The sequence below is a fragment of the Homo sapiens genome, chromosome 19 (genome assembly GCF_000001405.40).
Source record: "Homo sapiens chromosome 19, GRCh38.p14 Primary Assembly".
Lineage (NCBI taxonomy): Eukaryota > Metazoa > Chordata > Mammalia > Primates > Hominidae > Homo > Homo sapiens.
Window position 1 is genome coordinate 11,668,736 of NC_000019.10, and position 18,871 is coordinate 11,687,606.

At 44.8% G+C, this 18,871-nt stretch overlaps 1 pseudogene across 1 annotated transcript, besides 1 other annotated feature; it reads left to right on the forward strand.

Annotated features, from left to right (window-relative positions):
• The first annotated feature begins 5,262 nt into the window (after window positions 1–5,262).
• On the forward strand, window positions 5,263–17,834 carry ZNF833P (zinc finger protein 833, pseudogene; annotated as a pseudogene). Its single transcript, NR_028594.1, has 3 exons — window positions 5,263–5,441; window positions 13,811–13,937; window positions 16,141–17,834. The product of NR_028594.1 is annotated as a zinc finger protein 833, pseudogene (transcript).
• Window positions 5,581–6,138: an enhancer, noted in NCBI's record as "H3K4me1 hESC enhancer chr19:11785131-11785688 (GRCh37/hg19 assembly coordinates)". NCBI's record gives its function as "activates a minimal SCP1, AML or CMV promoter by ChIP-STARR-seq in primed H9 embryonic stem cells {active_cell/tissue: H9 hESC(primed)}" and the evidence as "EXISTENCE:reporter gene assay evidence [ECO:0000049][PMID:30033119]".
• Window positions 17,835–18,871: the final 1,037 nt, after the last annotated feature.

The window sequence follows — 18,871 nt, forward strand, 5'->3', positions numbered from 1 at the left end:
GCTGAGAGGCAGAGGTTGCGGTGAGCCGAGATTGCGCCATTGCACTCCAGCCTGGGCAACAAGAGCAAAACTCCGTCTCAAAAAAAAAAAAAAAAAATCCTTAGCAGTCTTATGCCTATAATTCCAGTACTTTGGGAGGCCAAGGCGGGCAGATCACTTGAGGTCAGGAGTTCGAGACCAGCCTGGCCAACATGGTGAAACCCCATCTCTACTAAAAATAGAAAAATTAACCAGGCATGATGGTGTGTGCCTGTACTCCCAGCTACTTGGGAGGCTGTGGTGGGAGAATTACTTGAACCTGGGAGGCGGAGGTTGCAGTGAGCCGAGATCATGACACTGTACTCCAGCCTGGGTGACAGAGCGAGACTCTGTCTCAAAAAAAAAAAAAAAAAAAATTCCTTAACTGTATCCTTCACAAAGCAAATTTTTATTTTAATGAAGTTTAATTTCTCAATTTTTAATGGATTCTGCATCTTTGTCATATGTATGCAATTGTAACGTAACCCAAGGTCAAATAATTTCACCCACATTTTCTTTACATTTTATAGTTTAGATTATACATTCAGTTTTGTGATCCATTTTGAGTTAATGTTTGTATATAGTGCAAGACACAGATCTACAGTCTTTACTTTTTGCATATGCATATTCTATTTTTTAGCATTATTTGTTGAGAAGAGAAATTTTGACTCAATTGTTCACTTTGATTAAAAAAAACTACTGGACCACATGTGTAGAAATGTTACTGGAACATTTATTCTGTTCCATGGATATATTTGTCTACTTGCCAAAGACATTGTCTTGATTAGGATTGCTAAATTTTCTTTGTTTTTTTTTCAGAATTATTTGGCTATTTGTTTGGTTATTTCAGGTACTTTTCACCTTTTTTTTTTTTTTTTTTTTGAGATGGAGTTTCACTCTTGTTGCCCAGGCTGGACAACAACGACAACGCGATCTCGGCTCACCGCAACCTCCGCCTCCCGAGTTCAAGTGATTCTCCTGTCTCAGCATCCCAAGTAGCTGGGATTATAGGCATGCGCCACCATGCCCAGCTAATTTTGTGTTTTTAGTAGAGATGGAGTTTCTCCATGTTGGTCAGGCTGGTTTCAAACTCCCGACCTCAGGTGATCCTCCTGCCTCGGCCTCCCAAAGTGCTTGGGATTACAGGCATGAGCCACCACGCCCGGCCTTCATCATAATTTTATAACTTCATAATACATTGTTCTTTTTCTTTTTCTTTTTTAAAAGATTCAATGATTTTTTTTAAAGCAATAAAAAATAGTAAAAAACCCTTTGTGTTTACTGAAGTGGTTATCATTTCTGGTCCTCTTCTTTCTTTCCGGATTTCCACTTGGCTTCATTTTTCTTTGCACCCATGCAGTTTAGGGATGTCTCTTATGGAGCAAGTATGCTGATTACAAACACTTTCACTATGGCTGAATTAATAATTTATTTTCCCTTCATTTGGAAAGATATTGTTTGCTGGATATAGGATTCTCAGTTGATATACTTGTTCTTTCATTACTTTAAGGTAGTTGTTCTATGGTCTCCTGATCTGCGCTGTTGCTGGTAATAAGTATGTAATGAATCCTATCTTTGGTTCAGTGTAGTTAATGTGTCTTTTTCCTGTTGCCTTAAAGCTATTTTAATTGTTCTTGCTGTGAAGTAGTTTACTGATGATGTGCTTGGTGTAGATTTATATACATATATGCTCATGGTTTGTTGAACTTTTTTGATTTCTGGGTTTATAATTTTCATCCAGTTTGGCAAATGTGAAACCAGTATTTGTTGAAATATTTTTTGTCATGCTCTTTCCTCTGCCAAAGAGTCTTGTTATTTGCATATTATGTCACTTGTAATTTTCCCACTACACAGCTCACTGATTTTCTGTTTTTTGTTGTTGTTGTTTTTTTTGCTGGGTGCTTCATTTGGGATAGTTTCTACTGCTAGGTCACAAGGTTCACTCGTCTTCTTCTCTGCAGTATCTGATTTGCTGTTTATTCCACTCAGTGTAATTTGTTATCCCAGATGTTGTTTTCATGCCTAGTAGCTTGAATCATGTTTTTTTCTTTAGTTTTTAGATTGTTTGGAGGTAAAATATACTAACAGAGAATTTGCCATTTCGATCATTTTTAAAATGTGCCATTTAGTTGTAGTAAATAAATTTACGATGTGGTGTAACCAACGCAGCTATTGATCTCTAGCATTCTCTCATCACTCTAAACAGAAATTGGGTACTCATTAAACACGTCCCCAGTCTCCCTTCCCCCCAGCTCCTGATAATGTCTATCCTACTTTCTCTATGAATTTGGCTATTCTAGGCACCTCATATAACGGGAAGGATACAATATTTGTCCTTGTGCTGGGCATGGTGGTTTATGCCTGTAATCCCAGCACTTTGGGAGGCTGAGGCAGGCAGATCACGAGGTCAGGAGTTCGAGACCAGCCTGACCAACATGGTGAAACCCCGTCTCTACTAAAAATACAAAAATTAGCCAGGTATGGTGGTGTGCACCTGTAATCCCAGCTACTCAGGAGGCTGAGGCAGGAGAATCGCTTGAACCTGGGAGGCAGAGATTGCAGTGAGCCAAGATCACACCACTGCACTCCAGCCTGGATGACAGAGTGAGACTCTGTCTCAAAACAAAACAAAACAAAAAATTTGTCCTTGTGTGTCTGGCTTATTTCACTTAGCATAATGTTTTCCAGGTTCATTCGGGTTGTATCATGTATGAGGAATTCATTGCTTTTTCTGTCTGAATGATACTTCATTGCACGGAGAAACCACACTTTGTGTGTCTACTCTAAACACTTTTCTTTTTTTGTAAAGATTTTAAAAATATATTTAAAAACTAGTTTGAGAGTAATTGAATTAAATCATTGACTGGAAGAGTTGTTTCTACAGTAATATTTTGGCTACTGTGAATTAAGATGGCTATGAAATTGGTATACATGTGTCTGTGTAAGACCCTGCTTTTACTTCTTTTGGGTATATACCTAGAAGTGGAATTGCTGGTGTAAAGAGTAATGGATGTTTCCCTTTTCTTTTTTTCTTTTTTCTTTTTTTTGAGACGGAGTCTTGCTCTGTCACCCAGGCTGGAGTGCAGTGGTGCGATCTTGGCTCACTGCAAGCTCCGCCTCCCGGGTTCACACCATTCTCCTGCTTCAGCTTCCCGAGTAGCTGGGACTACAGGCGCCCGCCACCAGGCCTGGCTAATTTTTTGTATTTTTAGTAGAGACGGGGTTTCACCATGTTAGCCAGGTTGGTCTCGAACTCCTGACCTCATGATCCACCCGCCTCAGCCTCCCAAAGTGCTGGGATTACAGGCATGAGCCGCTGTGCCTGTCCTGTTTTTGTTTTTGTTTTTGAGATGGAGTTTCGTTCTTGCTGCCCAGGCTAGAGTGCAATGGCGTGATCTCGGCTCATGGCAACCTCTGCCTCCCGGGTTCAAGTGATTCTCCTGCCTCAGCCTCCCGAGTAGCTGGGATTACAGGCATGCACCACCACGCCCGGCTAATTTATTTTGTATTTTTAGTAGAGACGGGGTTTCTCCACGTTGGTCTGGTTGGTCTCAAACTCCCGACCTCAGGTGATCCACCCACCTCGGCCTCCCAAAGTGCTGGGATTACAGGGGTGAGCCACCACACCTGACCTTCCTTTTAAATTTTTAAAATGTTTGCTTCATATATTTTGGGCCTCTGTTATTTAGTGCAATTATATTTATAACTGTTATATATTCTGTATGATTTGAGCCTTTTATAGTGCTCTTCTTTGTGTCTTTTAACAGTTTTTGACTTAGTCTATTTTGTGTGACAATTGTATAGCCACCCCTGCTCTCTTTACATTACTATTTGCATGGAATATCTTTTTCTTTCATTCTCTTTCAACTGACTTGGGTATTGAGATCTACAATGAATGTGCTGTAGACAGGATACAATTTGATCATATTTTAAAGATTCATTCTCCCTGCCTCTGTCTTTTGTTTGGCAAGTTTATTCCATTTAATTACCGATAACGAAGGCATTATGTCTGCCATTGTACTATTCGTGTTCTGTATGACTAATAGCTTTGTTTTTCATAAAATACGAGGAATTCCTTATGTTTTCAAAATCAGTGTCTAGTTTCTTGGCTTTTGATTGGAAACTTTTATTAACACTTAAAGGAGGGAGCATAGCCACACTCTGCAGAGGGGACAAGAGGGCAAGTTGAACTCCCAGAGCTGAATCCTTATGTATCTTGCCTCATCACCATGACTTGGTAATGAGGCAGGGACACTCTGGGGACCCATTTCTTTTTCTTATCTTTTTTCTTTTTTGAGACAGAGTTTTGCTCTTTCGCCCAGGCTGGAGTGAAGTGGCACAATCTTGGCTCACTGCAACCTCTGTCCGCTCCCCCCGCCGCCCCACCCCGGGTTCAAGCGATTCTCCTGCCTCAGCCTCCTGAGTAGCTGGGATTACAGGCGCCCACCATCATGCCTGGCTAATTTTTGTATTTTTAGTAGAGACGGGGTTTCACCGTATTGGCAAGGTTTGTCTCGAACTCCTGACCTCAGGTGATCCATCCGCATTGGCCTCCCAAAATGCTGGGATTACAGGTGTGAGCCACCGCACCCGGCCTCTGGGGACCCATTTCAACAGTCTGGCACCCATGGTTGGGAATATGTTTAACCTCTAAATTGGGGTTTTCCTGCTGAACTGCGTCTGAAAGACTGCTTCTCTGAGCTAGCTCATGTTTTTGCTTTTTCTCTCTATTGATTCCTTTATAGAATATTGCTGTCATATAAGTCCAGCTTTTCCGTGAATTTAACAGTTTTATCCTGTTATCGATGTGTTTTTATTTTCTTGAAAATAAGCAGATTGAGACATCAGATGGGAGAAAGGCTTGACTATGTCGCCAGCAGCCTCATGCCAAATTCCTGATTCCTGGAGGACAGAGCCCCCCTCCTGCTCCAAGGCCAGGAGATGGCGCCACTGGACAGTGAGTCTGGGATTCCTAGCACACACTTGTGATTGCTGGTCCAGGAAAAAGAAGCAGGAAGGGCCATTAGTACAATCAGTCAGGAAATTCTGCTTAAGTGCACATTTCTCCCCAGGAGAGTCGGGTCACTGCACTGGGAGGAAGCCCGCCTGCCAAGGGCTGTGTCTGGAACCTGTTCATCGCGCTCCACTCAGCACAGTGAGATCGCCTCTTCTGTTACTCGGTCTCCAGGGGGCGGGACCTGGAGCCGTATCCAATCAGGGCCATGGGGTGGGGTCGTGAGAACTGTGGATCAGGCGCACTGCAGGGAGGTGGGTGCGCGGCATCTTCACCCCTCTAAATGCGGCTCCTACTCTGTAGCTGACAGACACCCACAGACGTGTCTGTAGCATCCTCTGTCACACTGGGACCCGTACTGGCAGCAGGAGCCGTAGGGAGGACTGGGACACCTGGAAGCCAGGAATTGGTGAGTGTGCGGGGCTGAGGGTCCCGAGACTAGGATGGGACTGGTTGGAACCGGCAGGAATAGACCGTGGCGGGACCCGGGCCTCTTCGTAGTTGACTCTGGGTTCTGAGACCCAAGTCCCCCTGGCGCACCTCGGCCCTGGTTCCTCTCAGGCCGCAGGGTGGGGCTGCGACGGCAGCCGAGACCCCTAGCCGTCCGGTCCAGTCCCTGTGCAACTGACTGTGGCCCCAGGCCCAGCGCCCTCTCTGGTCAGCTCCGCGCCCGCTGCCCCAGTCACGCCCGCTGCCTCCGTGTCTCCCCAGATTGTACGGGGGCCACTAGAGGGTCATGGGGGAAATCCTGCCTCGAGTATGGGGTTCGTGTGAGAGGAGCTGTAGGCTGTGGGGTCCCCAGTTCCCTCTTTCTCACCAGGGGCTTTTGTATTTTATCTGAGTTTCCCAAATATACGCGAAGCAGGGTCTCAAATCCGCGACTGTGGTCCCTAGGCTACCTTCTCCTAAGGCTGGCAGCAAATTTGGGATTTCCTGATCCCTTTCCGCATTTTATAACACGGATTTCCTTTAGTTCACAACAGTATCACTTCTTCGTCCTCCAGGCTATGTTTCAAACACAGGCAGTATTTTAATCGTCATTTTTTTAGAGGGCAGTATATGGCCGTTTTAAAAATATTTGTTTTGTGTTTGTGAACGTTTCAGAGAAAAACCACCTGACACTCCGCTGTAAACAATCTTTGTGTCTCTTTTTATCTGCCCTAGGCACAGACACCTTCTGAGAATGTCTTGGGTTGAGATTCCCCTTTGGAAACTTTACAGTGATGCGACCTCAGCCCACCCTCTGCCTTTTCCTGATCCTGGGTTTCAGGACTACCTGGGGCTGGCCCAAGATGCCTACAGCTGCCAAGTCTCTTGGGAAAGTCTAGTGAATATCAGCCCCTAGGTCGTTCCTCCCAAAGAGCCTGAGGTGTGGCGGTGAGGCCTCCCCAGGGAGCAGCTGGATGCTATGGGGTGGGACCAGTCTCCTATATCATTATTGTAAAAAACTAATCCCTTGGGACACGCCTTTTCTTCTCCAACCCGTTTCCATTCCTTGGGGACACATGGCTAGTCAGCCAATCAAATTCTGGTATGGAGGAAACCAAATTATTTCTGTCCTGTAATCCTAGCACTTTGGGAGGCCAAGGTGGGTGGATCACCTGAGGTCAGGAGTTCAAGACCAGCCTGGCCAACATGGTGAAACCCCGACTCTACTAAAAATCCAAAAATTAGCTGGGCGTGGTGGTGCACCCTTGTAATCTCAGCTACTCGTGAGGCTGAGGCAGAATTGCTAGAACCCGGGAGGTGGAGGTTGCAGTGAGCTGAGATTGCGCCACTGCACTCCAGCCTGGGCGACAGGGCAAGACTCCGTCTCAAAAAAAAAAAAAAAAAAAGAAGAAATGATTTCTGTCCTCTGGATTCTCTCAGTCTAGTGAAAGAAGAAAACCACCCCCAATGAGTTGTTGCAAGGACCTGAAAAGCACACAGTTGAGTGTCTTCTGGGAGGGTGGTCACTGAGCACTTCAGGGAGCAGCTTGGAGGTGGGGGGATGTCCCAAGTGATAGGATGATGTGACCTGACACTTGAGTCAGACACTTGAGTGTTTCAGGTCAGCACTGCCCCTCCCTGGGTTTATCACCTTGAAAAAATTGGTTTACTCATTTCAGCTTCAGGTTTTTTTTTTTTTTTTTGAGACGGAGTTTCACTGTTGTTGCCCAGGCTGGAGTGCAATGACGCGATCTCGGTTTGCCGCAACCTCCGCCTCCCAGGTTCAAGTAATTCTTCTGCCTCAGTCTCCCAGGTAGCTGGGATTACAGGCATGTGCCACAATGCCCACCTAATTTTGTATGTTTAGTAGAGATGGGGTTTCACCATGTTGGTCAGGCTGGTCTCGAACTCCCGACCTCAGGTGATCTGCCCACCTCAGCCTCCCAAAGTGCTGGGATTACAGGCGTGAGCCACCATGCCCAGCCATCAGCTTCAGTTTTTTTTTTTTTTTTCTTTTAGGATTGCTTTTATGAGCTAGGCATATTTGTATGGGAAGGGGGAATTTTTTTTTCTTTTTTTAGTATTTATTTATCATTCTTGGGTGTTTCTCGGAGAGGGGGATTTGGCAGGGTCATAGGACAATAGTGGAGGGAAGGTCGGCAGATAAACAGTTGTGAACAAGGGTCTCTGGTTTTCCTAGGCAGAGGATCCTGCGGCCTTCTGCAGTGTTTGTGTTCCTGGGTACTTGAGATTGGGGAGTGGTGATGACTCTTAACGAGCATGCTGCCTTGAAGCATCTGTTTAACAAAGCGCATCTTGCACTGCCCTTAATCCATTTAAACCTGAGTGGACACAGCACATGTTTCAGAGAGCACGGGGTTGGGGGTAAGGTTATAGATAACAGCATCCCAAGGCAGAAGAATTTTTCTTAGTATAGAACAAAATGGAGTCTCCTATGTCTACTACTATCTACACAGACACAGTAACAATCTTATCTTTCTTTTCCCCACATTTCCCCCTTTTCTATTCGACAAAACTGCCATCGTCATCATGGCCCGTTCTCAGTGAGCTGTTGGGTACACCTCCCAGACGGGGTGGAGGCCAGGCGGAGGCGCCCCCCCACCTCCCAGACGGGGCGGCTGGCCAGGCGGGGGCTGCCCCCCACCTCCCTTCCTCCTGGACAGGGCAGCTGGCTGGTCGGGGGCTGCCCCCCACCTCCCTCCCGGACGGGGCAGCTGCCGGGCGGAGACCCTCCTCACTTCCCAGACGGGGCAGCTGCCAGGCAGAGGGGCTCCTCACTTTCCCAGACAGGGCAGCTGCTGGGCGGAGGGGCTCCTCACTTCTCAGACGGGGTGGCCAGGCAGAGACGCTCGTCACCTCCCAGACGGGGTGGTGTTCAGGCAGAGACACTCCTCAGTTCCCAGACGGGGTCACGGCCGGGTAGAGGCGCTCCTCACATCCTAGACAGGGCAGTGGGGCAGAGGCGCTCCCCACATCTCAGACGATGGGCGGCAAGGCAGAGACGCTCCTCACTTCCTAGATGGGATGGCGCCGGGAAGAGGCGCTCCTCACTTCCCAGACTGGGCGGCAGGGCAGAGGCGCTCCTCACATCCCAGACCATGGGCGGCCAGGCAGAGACACTCCTCACTTCCTAGATGGGATGGTGGCCGGGAAGAGGCGCTCCTCACTTCCCAGACTGGGCAGCCGGGCAGAGGGGCTCCTCGCATCCCAGATGATGGGCGGCCAGGCAGAGACGCTCCTCACTTCCCAGACGGGGTGGCGGCCGGGCAGAGGCTGCAATCTCGGCACTTTGGGAGGCCAAGGCAGGCGGCTGGGAGGTGGAGGTTGTAGCAAGCCCAGGTCACGCCACTGCACTCCAGCCTGGGCAAGATTGAGCACTGCGTGAGCGAGACTCCGTCTGCAATCCCGGCACCTCGGGAGGCCAAGGCGGGCAGATCACTCGCGGTCAGGAGCTGGAGACCAGCCCAGCCAACACGGCGAAACCCCGTCTCCACCAAAAAATACAAAAACCAGTCAGGCGTGGTGGCGCACGCCTGCAATCCCAGGCACTCGGCAGTCTGAGGCAGGAGAATGAGGCAGGGAGGTTGCAGTGAGCCGAGATGGCGGCAGTACAGTCCAGCCTCGGCTCGGCATCAGAGGGAGACCATGGAAAGTGGGAGACGAGGGAGAGGCTCAGCATCAGAGGGAGACCGTGGAAAGTGGGAGACGAGGGAGAGCAGCTTCAGTTTTTTAATAACTGTAAAATGCACTATATTATTAGAGATGGATGGAGAAGTTAAAGTATTTCCAAACATGCCAGAAGAAGGTAGGTTTTGGTAGGTTTTAGGAAAAAAAAAGTCTAGTCTTGTATTCCCTTATAAAAATTCTTATTTTTCTTCCCAGAGCCTGGGTAGTAAGTTTCTCAGCTCCTTTTTCTATTGGGTGATTTCAAATGGAATTCTAGGCCTTAGCATGAAAATACTACCAGGGAAAAGAAATAGGGAAAAAAACCTCTCTTCCATTTTGGTTACAGAAAAAATGAGTTGTTTTCAAAAGAAAGTGTGGTGGATTATACTGGTGAATTACAAAGATGTTCCATAACCTCAGTTCTTCTCCTTCTCAGGTTGAAGAATTTGTGACCGTGGATAAGTTCGTTTCCTGTTATGTGAACTTGGCAGATTAATGCTAAATCCTGTGGGACAGCATTTAGCAACACCTAAAAAAGTACTCAATTATGATTTTTTGTGTACTAAATGATTATGGAAATACTAATTCTGTGTGGAAAGAACACACTCAAAGGGCTTTTTCTATTCTTTCAATAACAACAATCAACACAGAAGACTTTTGTGACCAAAAGCGTGGGTTTTCTCCCTACCAAAAGGCAAGCAGTGTATCCTGCAGTGGACAGCAACTGGGTCTCTTCCAATTCAGTTTTGACATTCTCTACCCTGGAGATAGTTTCAGAGCCCATAGGTTGATGGCTCAGTCCCCACATCCCTCCCTCCCTGCCTGCCACTCCCTACCATTCAGGTATCAGTGGTAAGTCTGGACCAATTATAACCCACAGGTTTCAAGTTGGAGTTCTTGTGCTCTCTTTGGGTTTAACTTGCTATTGTGGCTTGCAGAACTCAGGGAAACACTTACTCATCTTCACAGTCTTCTTTCATTTCTTTTTTTGTAGAGATGGAGTCTCTCTATGTTGCCCAGGCTGAACTCCTGGCCTCAAGTGATCTTCCCATCTTGGTCTCCCAAAGTGCTGGGATTACAGGTGTGAGCCACCATACCTAACTCTCAGGTTTCTTTCTTTTTATTTTTTTTTTTTGAGACAAGAGTCTCACACTCTGTGGCCCATGCTGGAGTGCAGTGGTGCGATCTCAGCTCGCTGTAACCTCCACTGCCCGGATTCAAGCTATTCTCCTGCCTTGGCCTCCCGAGTAGCTGGGATTATAGGTGCACACCACCACGCCTGGCTAATTTTTGTATTTTTAGTAGAGACGGGGCTTCACCATGTTGGCCAGGCTGGTCACGAGCTCCTGACCTCAAGTGATCCACCCACCTTGGCCCCCCAAAGTGCTGGGATTACAGGCACGAGCCACTGCACCCAGCCAAGGATATTTTAAAGGATACAAATAAACATCCAGGTGAAGAGATACATAGGGTGAGGTCTAGAAGGGTCTTGAGCACAGTAGCTTCTGTCTCTGGGGTTAGGGTGTGCCACCCTCCCAGCTGATGGATAAGTTCTTGTTTACCTTCCTATAAGCCTGCATGTGTTGAGCTGTCTGGGAGCTTTCTGAATCCTGTACTCTGGGGCCTTTTCTTGAGACCTCATTGGATAGGCATGATTCATAACTATGTAGAAATTAGCTGGACAAAAAAGGTAGAATCTAATACTGATAGACTGAATGGGAAAATCCACCAAGCCCTGTCTGTTCAGATTCTTTTTGGCTTCTCTATGTAGCATTCCTTCCTCCAGGGTATGAGACAGGACCCCTTCTGAAATGAGCGTCTGATGACCCACAATCAGAAAAGCTGGGAAGATTAGACTCCTTCCTTGGGCAGGTGAAGGACAGCAGGAGGTCAGTGAGAGAAATTCTGTCTTCTCAGTCCTGCCTCTGAAGCCTACAGTGCCACAGCACTATAACAGGGGCTGTGACAGTTACGAGCCAGGAAAAATGCAAAAATTAGCCAGGTGTGGTGGCGCATGCCTATAAACCCAGCTACCCGGGAGGCTGAGGCGGGAGAAGTGCTGGAACCAAGGAGGCGGAGGCTGCAGTGAGCCGAGATTGTGCCACTGCACTCCAGCCTGGGTGACAGTGTGACTTGGTCGAAATTAAAAAAAAAAAAGTTCCACATATCCCTAGGGCAGAGGCACACTGCAGCCAAGCTCTTTGCTAAGGAAAAACAAAAGTGACCTGTGCTTCAGTTCCCAATAAATACTTATAAGTATTGTCCTTTCCATCTGAGACCTCCTCAGCCTGAACTTTATATCACTATCAGCATTTTGGTCACAACCATTCAGCAAGCCTCTACAAAGTCTCAAACTCCCTCATCTTCCTGTTGTCTTCTGAGCCCTCCACACTCTTCCAAACCTCTGCCTGTTAAGAAGTTCCAAAACCAATTCCACATTTTCAGATATCTTGATAGCAATGCGCCACTTCTCAGTACCAATTTTCTTGTATTATTCCATTCTTGCAGCATGATAAAGAAATACCTGAGACTGGGTAATTTATAAAGAAAAGAGGTTGAATTGGCCCATGATTCTGCAGACTGCACAGGAAGCATGGTACTGGAAGGATGGCATCTGCTCAGCTTCTAGGGAGGCCTCAGGAAACTGACAATCATGGTGGAAGGCAAAGGGGGAGCAGCAGTTCACACGGCCAGAGAAGGAGCAAGAGAGAGCAGGGCAAGGTGCCACAGACTTTTAAATGACCGGTTCTCACAAGAACTTACCATCTCAAGAACAGCACCACAGGGATAGTGCTAAACCATTCATGAAGGACCACCATCCAGTCACCTCCCACAAGGCCCCACCTTCAATATTGGGAATTACAATTCGACATGAGATTTGGGTGGAGATTCAAATCCAAACCATGTCCTTTTGCTTTTTTCTGTTTTGTTTGTGGAGTAGATTTTTCTCCATCCCTTTACTTTGAGCCTAAGGGTGCCATTGCATGTGAGATGGGTCTCTTGAAGACAGCATACCATTGGATCTTGCTTTTTTATCCAAGTCACCACTGTGCCTTTTAATTGGGGCATTTAGCCTGCTTACATTCAAGGTTAGTATTTATATGTGTAGATTTGATCCTATCATGTTGTTAGCTGGTTATTATGCAGACTTGTTTGTGTGGTTGTTTTATAGTGTCACTGGTCTATGTATTTAAGTGTGCTTTTGTGGTGGCTGGTAATGGTTTTTTCTTTCCATATTTAGCACTCCCTTCAGGACCTCTTGTACAGATGTTCTCTTTCATTGTAATCACACAGGATGGGCTATGTCACCCAAATAACATGTGGTGGTGATTAACATGTGAAATGTTACCTGCCAGGGTCACGCATTACAGACTCTGTGCCCAGAGTATTTTTTCATGGCTCTTGTTTTCTGTTAGTTGTAATAGAATACCTGAAATTTGGCTGGGCGCGGTGGCTCGTGCCTGTAATCCCAACACTTTGGGAGGCTGAGGCAGGTGGATCATTTGAGACCAGGAGTTTGTGACCAGCTCAGCCAACATGGTGAAACCCCATCTCTACTGAAATATAAAAACAAAGCCGGGCATGGTCATGCATGCCTGTAATCCCAGCTACTTGGGAGGCTGAAGCATGGGAATTACTTGAACTGGGAGGTCGAGGCTGCAGTGAGCCAAGATTGCCCCCCCTGCATTCCAGCCTGTGCAACAGAGCAAGACTGTTTCCAAAAACAAAAAAAAACAAAAAACCCTGAATTTGGGTTAATATATAAAAAATACTTATTTTGTACAATTCTCAAAGTTTGGAAATCCAAGGGCAAATGGGGTACATCTGGTGAAAGCTTCTTGCTCTTTACTGTCTGAGGCAGTGGAGATCACTAGGCACGGGGGCTGATTGTGCTAACTCTGGTCTCTTTCTCTTCTTACAAGGCCACAAGTCTTATTTGTAGGATAACCCATTCATTCATTACCTCTTCAATTCGTCAGTGGATTAATCCATTCATGAGGCAGAGCCCTCATGCCTCTTAAAGGGCCCTGCTTTCAGTACTGACACATTGGGGATCAAATTTCGTTATGAGTTTTGGAAGGGGAAATTATTCACACTTAGCAAGGGCTGATTAGGTACACTGCTTCTGCTGAAAATACCACACTCTCAGAGGGAAAATGGGAATTAGGCAAATACCATATTGTTTGCATAAGTAGTTAAGGCACACACAACCCCATTTATTAGTTATGTTGGTGCAGATCTTCCCAAATCTAGCCCCTAGATACCATCAAAGTTCAACTTTCTAAATAAACGTGTAAGAATATGCAGTCTCAGAACTGCTAATTTGTCTCTTATAGACAGTATGTTTGGGACTTTCTCATGAGAGGTAATACTGACCCACTATACAGAGAGACACTAGAGGTGATCCAGGCAGCATATCTCAGTCTCTGAAATCACCAATGAGAGGCATGTCCTTGTTGGCTGTCACTTTACTGAATATATTCAATTCTAGCATCAGAATTGCTGTGATGGAGAAAGTGAGTGTAGACAGAAGACAAGAGGCTGACCAAGTCATTGAATAAATTTTTGGAGTCCACAGCATCGTGTGAACTTCTGAAGTGAGTATAGATTCCTAATGCTGTTGGTCTGAACCTTCCTCCTCTGCCATGTGGGATGTTTCAGGACTCAGTGACCTTTGAGGATGTGGCTGTGAACTTCACCCAGGAGGAGTGGGCTTTGCTGGGTCCTTCCCAGAAGAATCTCTACAGAGATGTGATGTGGGAAACCTTCAGGAACCTGATGTCTGTAGGTAAGGGTGACATCATTTCTTCACTTAGTCAATTATAGAACAAGTGTTTCTTGGTCTTCTGCATTGCTCAATGATTTGGAACATGGTAGGGAATACAGCAGACCCTTGAACAAGGTGGGGGTTAGAGACTCTGATCGTCCACACAGTCTGTTAGGTGCCTGTGAATTTAGAGTCCCTAAAGAGTTAACTACTAATAGACTGCTGTTGACCAAAGCTGTATTGATAACAGAAAGTCAATTAATACATTTTGTATGTTTGGTATATATCTATATACATATATATGGCCAGGTGTGGGGGCTCACACCTGTAATTCCAGTACTTTGGGAGGCTGAAGTGGGAGGATTGCTTGAGCTCAGGATTTTGAGACTGGCTGTAGCAATGAAGTGATACCCTGTCTGTATAAAAAATAAAAAAAGTAGCCATGGATGGTGGCACACCTGTGTTCCTAGCTATTCAGAAGGTTGAGGCAGTAGGTTCGCTTGAACTGGGGAGGTTGAGCTTGCAGTGAACCATGATTGCACCACTACAGTTTAGCCTGGGCAACAGAGTGAGTCCTTGTCTCACTCTGTGTGTGGCTGGGCATGGTGACTTGCGCCTGTAATCCCATCACTTTAGAAGGCTGAGGCAGGTGCATCACTTGATGTCAGGAGTTTGAGACCAGCCTGGCCAACGTGGTGAAACCCCATCTCTACTAAAAATACAAAAATTAGCTTGGTGTGGTGGCATGCACCTGTAATCCCAGCTACCTGGGAGGGTAAGGGAGGAGAATCACTTGAACCTGGGAGGCAGAGGTTGCAGTGAGCCAAGACCACGCCACTGCACTCTAGCCTGGGCAAGAGAGAGAGACTCCGTCTCAAAAAAAAAAAAAGTGCGTATGTGTATATATGTTTAAGACAGGGTCCCTTGCTAGGTCTAGAGGCGAGTGCCACCATCCCCAGCTAATTTTTGTATAATTTTTTTGTAAGGTGGAGGGTCGTGAACTCCTGGCCTCAAGCATTCCTCCTCCCTAGCATCCCAAAGTGCAGGGATTACAGGCATGAGCCACCATGCCAAGCCTGTTTGGTATGTTATGTACTGTATTCTTATAATACAGTAAGCTTTTCTTTTGAAAAGGTTATCAAAAAAATTAGAAGAGAAGATATGTTGACTTTAGTAAGTGCAAGTAGATTATCAAGGTGTTCTTCCTTGGTTGTCTTCATATTGAGTAACCTGAGCAAAAAAGGAGGGTTTGGTCTTGCTCTCTTAGAGATGGCAAGAGCTGATGAAAATGTGCATGAGTGAACTGTGCAGTTCAAAACCATGTTGGTCAAGGTTCAACTGAACTTTGGTGAATAAATCAGCCATGGCCACAGTGTCCCATGAACATAGAATCTAATAATTTTTCTATAATTTTGTAATAACTTATGATGACTTTTATGGGTCTGCATTTTAGGAATAAAATGTGAAGACCAGATCATTGAAGATCAGTACAATAATTCCAAAAGAAATCTAAGGTCATTTGCACTTACAACCTAGAGCTATGTCCCTTAAGATATTGTTAGAATGACAACAAATGTTAAAAGCAAGCAAAGAAAATGAAGCAGCCCAGCTTCAAATTCATTCATTTTTAGAAAAAATTTTCCAGGCTGGGCATGGTGGCTCACACCTGTAATCCCAGCACTTTGGGAGGTCAAGGGAGGCAGATTGCTTGAGCCCAGGAGTTCAAGACCAGCCTGGGCAACATGGTGAAACTCCATCTGTACAAAAATCTAAAAGTTAGCCAGGCATGGTGGCATGCACCTGAGGTCCCAGCTACTAGGGAGGTTAAGGTGGGAGGATGGCTTGAACCCAGGAGGTCAAGGCTGTGATGAATCGTGAACATGCCACTGTACTTCAGCCTGGGTGACAGAGTGAGACCTTGTCTCCAAAAAAAAAAATAACTATTTTCCAAAAACAATATACTTACACAAGACATAAATATCCAGTGTTTTCAAAATAGTTGCCTTGGAGCCAGTGTTAAGAAATTGATTATGAATATCAATGTTTTGATAATAAGTGTAATGCAGCCCTTTTGCAGAGTATTCAGTCCATTGATGTTTACACAGTTCAGACAAGCCAGAAAACCTACTTTCCATCATAATGCAAAATATGTAAATCAAATACCTACTAATGAATATAAAATCATTTATAAACCAGCCCTTGGTATTGTGCTTATTTCTCACAGAAGTCATATGGTAGAGAGAGTCTGAAGGTAAGGAAGATGGTCAATGTGAAGAGATCTTCAGCCTTGTTCCAAATGGTATAGTGAAGACGACTTTTACTGGAGTCAAATCATGTGAAAGCAGTGTGTGTGAAGAAGGCAATATGGATCATTCATCTCTTAATTGCTGCATCAGAGCTGACACTGGACACAAATCAGATGAGTGTCAGCAACATAGAAGCCACATAAGCAGTGTGTGAAAACCTTCAGCTATTGCCACTCCTTTCAAACACATGAAAGGCCTCACACTGGAAAGAAACTCCATGTAAGAAATGTGGAAAAACCTTCATTTCTGTTCAAACCTTTTGAAGATACATGGTAATGCACAGTGAAGATGAACCTTATAAATGTAAGTTTTGTGGGAAGGCCTTTGATAATCTACATTTATATCTTACACATGAAAGAACTCACACTGGAGAGAAACCCTATGAATGTAATAAATGTGGGAAAGCCTTCAGTTGTTCCAGTTCCATTCGAAAACATGCAAGAATTCACACTGGAGAGAAACCCTATATATGTAAACAATGTGGCAAAGCCTTTAGATATTCCAGTTCTATTCGAAATCATGAAAACACTCACACTGGTGAAAAACCCTGTGAATGTAAGCAATGTGGGAAAGCCTTTAGTTATTCCAGTTACTTTCGAATACATGAAAGAATTCACACTGGAGAGCAGGTGTATAAATGTAAGGAATGTGGGAAAACATTCACTTATCCCAGTGCCTTTCATAAACATAAAAGTACCCACACTTCACAGAAACTTTATGAATGTAAGGAATGTGGGAAAGCATTTGATTGTTTTAGTTCCTTTCATAGTCATGAAGGGGTTCACACTGGAGAGAAACCCTATGAATGCAGAACGTGGAAAAGCCTTCAGTAGTTCTAAGTACTTAAAAATACATGGAAGAACTCACACTGGAGAGAAGTCCTATGCAGTAAAGAATGAGGGAAAGTATTTTATTGTCTCAGTCCCCTTCAAAGACATGAAAGGACTCACATCAGAGAAAAGTTGTATGAATGTAAAAAATGTGATAAAGCCTTCCATTCGTCCAGTACTGTTAGAAACCATGAAAGAAGTCACATTTAAGAAAAACACAGTGATGTTAGGAATATGGGGAACCTTTCCTTTCTCTTCCAGTCTTTGGAAGGCACAGGGTATGACACACTGGTGACCTTATAACTGTAAGGAGTGTGGATAAGTATTTATTAGTCCTTGTGTGTTTTAGATACATGAAAGAATTTACTCAAAAGGAAACTCTATGAATGTAAAGAATGTGGTAAAACCTGTGTAGTTTCAGTTTCTCTTGAATAAAGTCATTTCCTGGTATTCTCAGGGGATTGGTTCCAGCACCCCTTGAGAATATATAATTTTGCTCAAGTGCTTTACAGAAAAGTGTATTTGCCTATAACTAGGCAATCCTGTATACTTTAAATCATCTCTAGATTACTTATAATACCTAATGCATTGTAAATGCTATGAAGACAACTGTTTTATTGTATTTAGGGAAGTATGACAAGAAAAAACATCTGTACATATTCAGTACAGACACAACCACCATACGGCTACCTACCTAGTACACATCATCTACAATATAACATTTTCTTTTTAAAAAACAGTTATGGATTGGTTTCATTAAATGACCTGCAAGCGTGTGTTAACCTTCTGTAAAACCCTGGTTATTTTCTCCTGGTAGCCCACACATGATGATGATGAGGATGATGGTGATTGCTCTGTGGTGCCTAAAGTTGCAACATGTTGAGGTGCCAAGATATGTGGCAGTGTCGATAAGCAATGAGATGTCAATTAAACTAGAATCATCTGACAGGACATTAGAAGTATCATCTATGTTGGAGGTACCAACTTCTGACTGCAGATGTTGACTCTTTCATCAATAATACAAATGTTGGATCTACGGAATTTGAGGGTCAAAGATATTTAAGCATTGATGGTCCCACAGATTCTAGTTGGGGACATTATCAAGGATGCAGTTTACCCAGAGCGATTAACCCTAGTGGAGGAGCTAGATTAGGAAAGTTTCTGGGGTCATGGTTAAGTCTAGGTTCTACTTGGAATGGATATCTAACCAGAAATCTTTCTTGTATCATTAGTAGAGTTGCCCATTTCACCACCGAAGCCATCAGGACACAAGAGAAGTCTCTAGGTTCCCTTGCCTGCATGGCCCTAGACAACCACATTGCAGCTATCTCCCTACTTTACAGGGTAGTGTCTGTGCTAACCCTTGCTTCTGCATCTGGGTAAAATACTTCCAGTCAGACTGAATTGGGAACATATAAGATCTTAAAACCAGCCAAATCTCTGAAAGGGACACCTTCAGAAACCCTCCTGTCTAGACTTACTGGGTTACATTTCCAATTTCCAGATATTTTCAGCTGGCTCTTCCCCTGGTATAGGATTTCTTCTCCATTCTGCCCTACAAGTCTCAATGATCCTATTTAAAATATGCATTTGGCTCCTCTTTAAAATTGTTCTATCTTGTTTCAACAGATGCCTCCAAGAGACCCCCACTAGGTTCTTGCTGACCTAATACTTGAGATTTTAAACTCACTCCAGCTGGCCACTGAAACCAACTTAACCCAAGAGATTTTGGCTAAAATTTAACAGGTTCCTGAGAACCTCTTATAAGTAAATGGCTATAGTTGCCCAACTGGCCACTGCCCTGCCATTAGGATCCCTG